The 12296-nt window shown below is 40.3% G+C and overlaps 1 protein-coding gene across 20 annotated transcripts in view; it reads right to left on the reverse strand.

The window, feature by feature from the left end:
- CCDC141 (coiled-coil domain containing 141) overlaps nucleotides 1-12296 on the reverse strand; it is a 235160-nt gene that overhangs the window by 146820 nt on the left and 76044 nt on the right. The window lies entirely within an intron of this gene.

The following is a 12296-nucleotide window of genomic DNA, read 5'->3' on the forward strand; positions in this document are numbered from 1 at the left end:
TGATGCTGGGTGAGTGTTCTACATTCTGAGGTGATTGGACTGAAGCTGAGATTTAAAGGCTAGTGCCTGGTATGACCAAACAAAAACTCAATAAATGTGGTGGCCAGGTGCCCAGATATCAGGGACTATGACAAAGTGGAAAATGCTTGCTAAAAGGGTCAGCTGTCACTCAGTTCTGGCGAACAGTTGACATGAGGAATATGGGTTCAGTGTTGATGGAACTTCCAATTATTAAAAGAGTTTCAAATGCAAATTTTATATGAAAGTTCTGACTTCTAAATCTTTCATAATTCATATTTTTAATTAAAAAAATCACAGGATAATGAAGCATAGATATCTGCCAAATGGACTACCAGTATGTGATCTCTGGAGTAAATAGCATTGTAAGTTTAGGTAACATCTTGTAGAATTGGGATGTTAAGCCTAAAAATTGAAGAACTACCAAGGGAGAAAGTGTAGAAGGAGAAAGAGTTGAGAATAGCACATTGAGGAGCATCTACACTTGGGGATCAATTGAAGGAGCAGTTGGGGAACTGTCCACTCTCCATCAGGCAGAAAGAAGGAGCTGTCCATGACATCCCTCTCCTTCATCCCGCCATCATCAAGACCTGTTGATTTTACATGCTATCTCTGGCATCTGTCTACTTCTCTCTGTCCTCACCATGGAAAGCATCATTTGTTGCCTGGATGTGCAGTCTTCTCTTAATTGTATCCTCTCTCCAATCCATCTATCAATGCACCAGACTTTAGCCACAGCGATCTTTTCTAAACATAGCATCTCTTTCCCTCCCCTTCTTTCTTTCTTTCTTTTCTTTCTTTTCCTTCTTTCCTTCTTTCTTTCCTTTCCTTCTTTCTTTCTTTCCTCTGTCTCTCTCACACACACACGCATGCACACACACTCACACTTACAACAATGGCACCCCAATGCCTTAAAATTAAAGACAGACCCCTTAATGTAGATTACTATGTCTGACATGGTCTAGTCTCTTCCTTCCTTTTCAAATTGTCTCAGTCTCTCCACTTTTCATTCTTATCTTCTTTAAATTCCTCACACATGCTATACTCTCTCCTGACCCTGAACTTTTCACTATGTCCACTCACATCCTCAACACCCTCCTTCGTTATCTTTACCGTACTCATATTTCATGTCAACTGTCACTTCCTCAAAGTACAAATCAGATGGGATCAAATACTCTCACACTTAATGTCTGTCTTTGCCACTAGGCTCCACTGCAACATGAGGATAGAGACCATGACTGCACCCAGCACTTAGCACAGTGACTGGCACAGGAAATTTGCAATCATTTTTGTAGAATGCTTGAGTGAGAAGAAATGTTTTGAAAGAGGGGTTGGAAATTGGGGGAGCTACAAATGTTAGAGATCAGAAGTTCCCCAGAGATGTAAAAAAGAGAAGTTGAGAAGAAGATTTTGGGTTTTGTGATGGAAACAGAAGCCAAGTTACCAGGTTGAGGAGTGAGAAGGCAATGAGAAGTGAGAAGAAAGTGAGCTGAGAAGTGGGAAGGCAACACTCAGGACAATCTTTGAGACATTTGTTATTAGAAGAAAAGAAAATGCTAGGACAGTATCTCGAAAGAATAACAGCGTCAAATATACTGTTTTTTTTTGTTTTTTTCAGGTTGGGGGAACTATGGAGAACACTCAGAGACTAAGCATCTTACCAAGCCAGATACTAATAAAAATGGACTGAACTGGTGCTGAAACTCAAGACTTGTGATTAGTATAGCTCAGTGTTCTTTCCACTATAGGGATGCACTCAACTACAGCATTATAACTTTTGGCAGTTTATTACACCGCAATGATGTAGGCTGAGGTAGTTGGGCCAGTTTTCTCTTTCAATTGACACTTTTTTTTTTTTTGGAAAGCTGGAGGAGAGAATGAGATAATATATTGTAAAAAGGCATTTTGAGATGAAAAGGAAATAATTTGAAGTAGTTTATTCCACATGACCTAGATCAGTCCTGTAAAATATTAGCTAGTAGTATCTGCTCAGAATGACGAGAGTGTGATTATGTTCCCTGGGCAATTTGATTGTGAGTTAACAACGTAAAGAAACGAATGACAAAAACAACCACAGAATTCAACCAGGTGAGAAGAATGGGAGAATGTAAATAGCGTAAGAAAAGTCAGGGAGAACATTATAATTCAAGTCAATTTCTTTGGAAAAAAGAAATGGAAGCAAACATGAACAAGATGGGGCTGGGGGTAGGGTTCAGGAAAAGATCTGTCTGTTCAGAACAAGTTCTTATGGGGAGGTCCAAGACACACCTGGTGAAATGAGGTAAAAGCAGCTTATAGCAGGCCTTGCCTATCAGACTGAATAGTTTAATTTGTATAGCCTTAATGAAGTAAGAAGTATGATGGAGTCTCCTTTTATATATAGAGGGAAATAGTATTTTTCCTTTGCATTGAAGAGCTTGTTATGATATTGTGAACAGCTACACGCAAACACACACACACACATACAGCCCACACACGAGAAGTTTGGGAAGGCAACAGGGTCTCCACAGGGTTTCCTTCCTCTAACTAACTCTTACACATTAGACTTTGCAAATGAGAGGGAGGCACAACTTTAGGCCCTCAGGGTATTGCAGACTAATGGTCAACCTGTTATGGTTCCCATGAGAATATGAACAATTAGCCAAAATTAAAATTCAAATTTTTTTTCTGGTTTTCTGTTTCACCCTCTGCCAAAATAACATAACAACTACCACAGTATTGCCAGGCACACAGCCTCCTGAGCCAGCATTAACTTGTAAAATGTATCCAGGCTGAGTCAGTCTGTTACCTGCTACCACGATGGCTGTTGAGGTGGATGGATTCTCCCCTCAGTTTCCTCTGCCAGTTCCCTTGGTCTTTCAGTTTCTTACGTTTTTCTTTTTCACAGTTTACATTTTCCTAGCTATTTATTCCATCAGTTGATCTTACAAAGTGATGTGTTTTTCCCCAAGAGTAAACTGTCTAGATATACTGTGACCTTCAAGAACATCTTTACAGTCAATTTATTTTAAAGACTGTATATCAGCACATACGAAATCCTACTTACTGACACAATACCTTGTGATATGAACTTAGAAGATAGTCGATAAATTTTCATTAATTGTTTTGATTAATTTTCAATCTATCTAAAAAATTATCATTAAAGTTCATAAAATACATCATATTTTATATTAATACCTCTATAGTTTGCCACAATTATTAAGTATAAATAACCAATTTAAGATGGTATAATAGGTATACACAATGTGGATAGGTTTACAGCTTGTTAAATAAACTTTCCAAATGAGTACTTTCTAAAATGCATCAAGGTCACCATCTTGGTCCTGAGATCATGTAAGATATTTCTTCCTAATACTTTAAAAAATATTCTAAATGTTCCCCAGTGGGATGGTTTCTCTTGAACATAATTAACAGGTATTTTCAAATAGAGACAAAAGTAGAGATAATAGTGTAATGGGCCACCAGGAATGTATGCCCTAGCTAGGTTTAAGATACAAAAAACATCCACGATTGCTGGCAAGATAGCTGAATAGGAACAGCTCGGGTCTGCAGCTCCTAGAGAGATTGACACAGAAGGAAGGTGATTTCTGCATTTCCAACTGAGGTACCCGGTTCATCTCATTGGTACTCGTTGGACAGTGGGTGAAGCCCATGGAAGGCGAGCCAAAGCAGGATGGGGCGTCACCTCACCCAGGAAGCACAAGTGGTAGGGGAATTTTCTCCCCTACCCAAGGGAAGCCGTGAGGGACAGCCTGAGGAACTCCGGCACAGATACTGTGCTTGTCCCATGGTCTTCGCAACCCACAAACCAGGAGATTCCCTCCAGTGCCCACCCCACCAGGGCCCTGGGTTTCAAGCACAAAACTTGGCAGCCATTTGGGCAGACACCGAACTAGCTGCAGGGATTCTTTTTTTCCACACCCCAGGGCACCTGGAACACCAGCGAGACAAAACTCTTCACTCCCCTGGAAAGGGGTGCTAAAGCCAGGGAGCCAAGTGGTCTGACTTAGCAGTTCCCACCCCCAGAGAGCCCAGCAAACTAAGATCCACTGGCTTGAAATTCTCACTGTCAGCACAGCAGCAGTCTGAGATCGACCCGGTACGTTCCATCTTGGTGGGGGTAGGGGCGTCCGCCATTGCTGAGGCTTGAGTAGGCAGTTTTACAATCACAGTGTAAACAAAGCCACTGGGAAGTTTGAACTGGTGGGAGCCCACTGCAGCTCAGCAACGCTGCTGTGGCCAGACTGCCATATTTCTCTTCTCTGGGCAGGGAATTTCTGAAAAAAAGGCAGCCGCCCCAGTCAGGGACTTAGAAATAAAACTCCCATCTCCCTGGGATAGAGCACCTGGGGAAAGGGGCGCCTATGGGCGAAGCTTCAGCAGACTTGAACATCCCTGCCTGACAGATCTGAAGGGAGTAGCAGACCTTCCAGCACAGCATTCGAGCTCTGATAAGGGTCAGACTGTCTCCTCAAGTGGGTCCCTGACCCCTGTGTATCCTGACTGGGAGACACCTCCCAGTAGGGGGTGACAGACACCTCATACAGGAGAGCTCTGACTGGCGTCTAGCAGGTGCCCCTCTGGGATGAAGCTTCCAGAGGAAAGATCAGGTGGCAGTCTTTGCTGTTCTGCAGCCTCCACTGGTGATACCCAGGCACACAGGGTCAGGAGTGGACCTCCAGCAAACTCCAGCAGACCTGCAGCAGAGGGGCCTGACTGTCAGAAGGAAAACTAACAAACAGAAAGGAACAGCACATCCACTCAGAAACCTCATTTGAAGGTCACCAACATCAAAGGCCAAAGGTAGATAAATCCATAAAGATGGGGAAAAACCAGTGCGAAAAGGCTGAAAATTCCAAAAACCCGAATGCTGCTTCTCCTCCAAAGGATCAAAACTCCTCACCAGCAAGGGAACAAAACTGGACGGAGAATGAGTTTGACGAATGAAAGAAGTAGGCTTCAGAAGGTAGGTAATAACAAACTGCTCCGAGCTAAAGTAGCATATTCTAACCCAATGCAAGGAAGCTAAGAACCTTGAAAAAAAGGTTAGACGAATTGCTAACTAGAATAACCAGTGCAGAGAAGAATATAAATGACCTCATGGAGCTGAAAAACACAGCAGGAGAACTTCGTGAAGCATACACAAGTTTCAATAGCTGAATCGACCAAGCAGAAGAAAGGATATCAGTGATTGAAGACCAACTTAATGAAATAAAGTGAGAAGACAAGATTAGAGATAAAAGAAGAAAAAGGAACAAGCAAAGCCTCCAAGAAATATGGGACTATGTGAAAAGACCAAATCTACGTTTGATTGGTATACCTGAAAGTGATGAGGAGAATGGAACCAAGTTGGAAAACACTCTTCAGGATATTATCCAGAAGAACTTCCCCAACCTAGCAAGGCAGGCCAACATTCAAATTCAGGAAATACAGAGAACACCACAAAGATATTCCTCGAGAAGAGCAACCCCAAGACACATAATGGTCAGATTCACCAAAGTTGAAACGAAGGAAAAAATGTTAAGGGCAGCCAGAGAGAAAGGTCGGGTTACCCACAAAGACTAACAGCGGATCTCTCTGCAGAAACTCTAAAAGCCAGAAGAGAGTGGGGGCCAATAGTCAACATTCTTAAAGAAAAGAATTTTCAGCCCAGAATTTCATATCCAGTCAAACTAAGCTTCATAAGCGAAGGAGAAATAAAATCCTTTATAGACAAGGAAATGCTGAGAGATTTTGTCACCACCAGGCCTGCCTTACAAGAGCTCCTGAAGGAAGCACTAAACATGGAAAGGAACAACTTGTACCAGCCACTGCAAAAACATAACAAATTGTAAAGAACATTGACACTACGAAGAAACTGCATCAACTAACGGGCAAAACAACCAGCTAGCATCATAATGACAGGATCAAATTCACACATAACAATATTAACCTTAAATGTAAATGGGCTAACTGGACCAATTAAAAGACACATACTGGCAAATCGGGTAGAGTCAAGGCCCATTAGAGTGCTGTATTCAGGAAACCCATCTTATGTGCAAAGACACACATAGGCTCAAAATAAAAGGATGGAGGAATATTTACTAAGCAAATGGAAAGTAAAAAAAAAGCAAGAGTTGCAATCCTAATCTCATAAAACAGACTTAAACCAACAAAGATCAGAAGAGACAAAGAAGGGCATTACATAATGGTAAAGGGACCAATGCAGCAAGAAGAGCTAACTATCCTAAATATACATGCACCCAATACAGGAGCACCCAGATTCATAAAGCAAGTTCTTAGAGACCTACAAAGAGACTTAGACTCCCATACAATAATAGTGGGACACTTTAACACCCCACTGTCAATATTAGACAGATCAATGAGACATAAAATTAACAAGGATACTCAGGACTTGAACTCAGCTCTGGAACAAGCAGACCTAATAGACATCTACAGAACTCTCCACCTCAATTCAACAGAATATACATTTTTCTCAGCACCTCATCACAATTATTCTAAAATTGACCACATAATTGGAAGTAAAATACTCCTCAGCAAATGCAAAAGAACGGAAATCATAACAGACAGCCTCTCAGACCACAGTGCAATCATATTAGAATTCAGGATTAAGAAACTCACTCAAAACCGCACAACTACATGGAAACTGAACAACATGCTCCTGAATGACTACTGGGTAAATAAGGAAATGAAGGCAGAAATAAAGATGTTCTTTGAAACCAATGAGAATAAAAACACAACGTACCAGAATCTCTGGGACACATTTAAAGCAGTGAGTAGAGGGAAATTTATAGCACTAAAAGCCCACAAAAGAAAGCAGGAAAGATCTAAAATTGACACCTTAACATCAAAATTAAAAGAACTAGAGAAGCGACCGCAAACAAATTCAAAATCTAGCAGAAGACAAGAAATAACTAAGATCAGAGCAGAACTGAAGGAGATAGAAACACTAAAAAGCCTTCAATAAATCAATGAATCCAGGAGCTGGGTGTTTGAAAAGATCAACAAAACAGACCGCTAGCCAGACTAATTAAGAAGAAAAGAGAGAAGAATGAAATAGGCACAATAAAAAATGATATAGGGCATATCACCACTGATCCCACAGAAATACAAACCAAATCAGAGAATACTATAAACACCTCTATGCAAATAAACTAGAAAATCTAGAAGAAATGGATAAATTCCTGGACACATACACTCTCCCAAGCCTAAACCAGGAAGAAGTCGAATCCCTGAATACACCAATAACAAGTTCTGAAATTGAGGCAGTAATTAATAGCTTACCAACCAAAAAAAAAAAAAAAAAAAAAAAAAAGCCCAGGACCAGACGGATTCACAGCTGAATTCTACCAGAGGTACAAAGAGGAGCTGGTACCATTCCTTCTGAAACTATTCCAAACAATAGAAAAAGGGGGAACCCTTCCCAACTCATTTTATGAGGCCAGCATCATTCTGATACCAAAGCCTGGCAGAGACACAACAAAAAAGAAAATTTTTTTCTTTTAGAGCCCACAAATGGGACCTAATATTCCTGATGAACATCGACGCAAAAATCCTCAATAAAATACTGGCAAACCAAATCCAGCAGCACATCAAAAAGCTTATCCACCACGATCAAGTCAGCTTCATCCCTGGGATGCAAGGCTGGTTCAACATATGCAAATCAATAAACGTAATCCATCACATAAACAGAACCAATGACAAAAAACACATGATTATCTCAATAGATGCAGAAAAGGCCTTCAACAAAATTCAAAACCTCTTCATGCTAAAAACCCTCAATAAACTAGGTATCAATGGAATGTATCTCAAAATAATAAGAGCTATTTATGACAAACCCACAGCCAATATCATACTGAATGGGAAAAAATTGGAAGCATTTCCTTTGAAAACCAGCACAAGACAAAGATGTCCTCTCTCAACACTCCTATTCAACATAGTATTGGAAGTTCTGGCCAGGGCAGTCAGGCAAGAGAAAGAAATAAACGGTATTCAAATAGGAAGAGAAGAAGTCAAATTGTCTCTGTTTGCAGATGACATGATTGTATATTTAGAAAACCCTATCATCTCAGCCCAAAATCTCCTTAAGCTGATATGCAACTTCAGCAAAGTCTCAGGATACAAAATCAATGTGCAAAAATCACAAGCATTCCTATACACCAGTAACAGACAGAGAGCCAAATCATGAGTGAACTCCCATTCACAACTGCTACAAAGAGAATAAAATACCTAGGAATCCAACTTACAAGGGATGTGAAGGACCTCTTCAGGGAAAACTACCAACCACCGCTCAAGGAAATAAGAGAGGACACAAACAAATGGAAAAACATCCCATGCTCACGGATAGGAAGAATCAATATTGTGAAAATGACCATACTGCCCAAAGTAATTTATAGATTCAATGCTATCCTCATCAAGCTACCACTGACTTTCTTCACAGAATTGGAAAAACTACTTTAAAGTTCATATGGAACAAAAAAAGAGCCCACATAGCCAAGACAATCCTGGGCAAGAAGAACAAAGCTGGAGGCATCCCACTACCTGACTTCAAACTATCCTACAACGCTACGGTAAACAAAACAGCGTGATACTGGTACCAAAACAGATATATAGACCAATGGAACAGAACACAGGCCTCAGAAATAACACCACACATCTACAACCATCTGATCTTTGACAAACCTGATACAAACATGCAATGGGGAAAATATTCCCTATTTAATAAATGGTGTTGGGAAACCTACTAGCCATATGCAGAAAACAGAAACTGGACCCCGTCCTTACACCTTATATGAAAATCAACTCAAGATGAATCAAAGACTTAAATGTAAGACCTAGGACCATAAAAATCCTAGAAGAAAACCTGGGCAATACCATTCAAGACACAGGCATGGGAAAAGACTTCATGTCTAAAACACCAAAAGCAATGGCAACAAAAGCCAAAATACACAAATGGGATCTAATTAAACTAAAGAACTTCTGCACAGCAAAAGAAACTATCATCAGTGAACAGGCAACCTACAGAATGGGAGAAAATGTTTGCAATCTATCCATCTGACAAAGGGCTAATATCCAGAATCTACAAATAATTTAAACAAATTTACAAGACAAAGGCCGGGCACAGTGGCTCACGCCTGTAATCCCAGCACTTCGGGAGGCTGAGGCGGGCAGATCACGAAGTCAGGAGTTTGAGACCAGCCTGGCCAATATGGTGAAACTCCATCTCTACTAAAAATAAAAAAATTAGCCGGGCCTGGTGGCGTGGGCCTGAAGTCCCAGCTACTCGGGAGGCTGAGACAGAAGAATCACTTGAACAAGGGAGGTGGAGGTCGCAGTGATCTGAGATTGCACCACTGCACTCCAGCCTGGGTGGCAAAGCGAGACTCCACCTCAATTAAAAAAAAATTTATAAGAAAAAAACAACCCCATCAAAAAGTGGGCAAAGGATATGAACAGATACTTCTCAAAAGAAGACATTTATGCAGCCAACAAACATATGAAAAAATGCTCGTCATCACTGGTCATTAGAGAAATGCAAATCAAAACCACAATGAGATACCATCTCACACCAGTTAGAATGGCAATCATCAAAAAGTCAGGAAACAACAGATACTGGAAAGGATGTGGAGAAATAGGGATGCTTTTACACTGTTGGTGGGAGTGTAAACTAGTTCAACCATTGTGGATGACAGTGTGGTGAATCCTCAAGGATCTAGAACTAGAAATACCATTTGGCCCAGCAATCCCATTACTGGGTATATACCCAAAGGATTATAAATCATTCTACTATGAAGACACATGCACATGTATGTTTATTGCGGTACTATTCACAATAGCAAAGACTTGGAACCAACCCAAATGTCCATCAATAATGGACTGGATAAAGAAAATGTGGCACATATACACACACCATAGAATACTATGCAGCCATAAAAAAGGATGAGTTCATGTCCTTTGCAGGGACATGGATGAAGCTGGAAACCATCATTCTCAGCAAACTATCATGAGAACAGAAAACCAAACACCACATCTTCTCACTCATAAGTGGGAGTTGAACAATGAGAACACATGGACACAGGGAGGGGAACATCACACACCGGGGCCTGTCTGGGGGTGTGGGTTAGGGGAAGGATAACATTAGGAGAAATACCTAATGTAAGTGACGGGTTGATGGGTGCAGCAAACCACCATGGCACATATATACCTATGTAACAAAACTGCACGTTCTGAACATGTACCCCAGAACTTAAAATATATAATTTAAAAAAAAACCTAAATAAAAATAAATTTAAAAAAAGATATATACAACATCCAAGAAGGAAAAAGAAGTAATATGATCCTTCCTGTGAAGCAGCTTCTCAGTTCTTACATTCATTTTAAGAAGACCCTTAGAAAACTGGAGGGTGCAGTTGTCATTCTTTGGAGCTTAGAGTAAATTTTCTTCTCCTTAATGTCCCTAAAGCACTTCGTTTGTTGCTCACTTTTGCATCATTCTGCCATGTCGTACATTGGAATTATATACAAATAACACGCAACAAATATACTTTGGGTTAGACACTATTCTCAGCTTTGGAGATCTAGGGTCTCACAACCTGATGATGAAGATAAATAAGAAAATAAATTATTACTACACAGTGTGTGAGGTGATGTACTGAAGTACCCACAGGAAGTATAGAGGGAGTCACCAACGAATGTGTACATGTCCTGCTAAACTGCAGGCTTCCTGAGGAAAATGGCCACGTACTCCCCTGACACATGGCCCTGGATTTCTCACGAGGTTATGGGTTCAGAAAACAGTGTTTAATTATGTGTTTTGGATTGAGGGCAACCAGGCCAGTAAGTAATCCGGAAACCATATTTGCTGGAAAAGACTTTAACTAACTAGGTAATTTTAACCCCAAGGAGAGAAGTCAGGAGAAGGTATATTATTCCCTCTCTTTCAAGGATTGTTATGTGGTGGAGGGAACCAACTTGTTCTGAAACATTCCAGGGGGCAGAAATATCAACCCATTAATCCTGGTTCTAACTTCCGTAGTGTTAAAGAATAAGTTTCTTACATATTAGGGAGCCTTAGCACTGCTGAATAAGGAGAAAGCATAGGTGAAGCTAATTGAAATAAAGTGACTATTAGGGGTAAGTTTGATTATAGTTTTTCCAGCTTTTGTCATCCTAACACTCATGTTTTGTACTACTCAACTGATTAACATCTCAGAAACTTACTAGAATGGCTAGCTGCACTTATAGACATATTTTATTTCCTTAAATTTAAAGGTAATAGATATGAAGCACTCAACTAAAAAATCAGAATTTCACCCTTTAATATGCATTTCAAATCAGCTAATCTTAATCATATCCCATGGAATTAGTTGGTTAATAAATTGCATCAACTTCATTTTTTTGTTTTATGAAAACAAAAACCCTTGAAGCCACCACTGGGCATATGAACTGGGAACAAGTATCCTGACCAGAGTTCTCTGTCATCTCTGTGCTTCAAGTATCACACAGAAGGGCACAAACTCTCACAATAAATATGTCATCAAGATGGAAGAATATTTTTTCATCATAAAAATAAACTATGTTTCCTGTCTTCCACTAGCATTTTTATCCATCTCTTCAGACTAAGGACACCCAGTGGACTCTTGAAGGCTGGTACCCCTGAAAAGCAAGACATCAGTTTCACTGTCAGCTGGATGCCAAAGAAGTGCAAACAAAGCAGCATGTGCCCCATATAAACTGGCCCACAGTGCCGCAGATCCTAGGAACTTGAAGGAGCCAACAGCAGTAGCAACAACAAAACAGCATTAAGACTACATTCCCCCTGCCAGCTCCATTCCCAAACATGTATGGAAAAGCCCCTACTTCTACAAGCCCCCAGTCCCTCTGGAGAATGCTTTCATTTGATTGCCTCAGTATTGAAACTCTTCAATAATAGCATCCATCATTGTCAGGTTTCTGGAGGTAAAACTGCTGTGTGATGATCATGTTGGTTGAAAGAAGATTGAATTGAGACTACAGAACCCATCTGTTGCCTTCCAGTCTCCTAGGAGGAATTTCACGTGATTCTACTCATTTCCTTTGGACCTAGCTAGATTACTACTGCTGTATAATAATGGGCAACTGTTGCTTTAAAGCACAAACTTTTGATGCTTTTTATAATCCCTATTAGTGATAGGTCCTATAGAACAATAATCAGTGGAAATTATATATATGTATTTGGTAGGATCTCATAAGAATTTACATAGGAAAGATTGAGTCCTTTAATCTTACATAGGAAAGAT

Source organism: Homo sapiens, chromosome 2 (genome assembly GCF_000001405.40).
Source record: "Homo sapiens chromosome 2, GRCh38.p14 Primary Assembly".
NCBI lineage: Eukaryota > Metazoa > Chordata > Mammalia > Primates > Hominidae > Homo > Homo sapiens.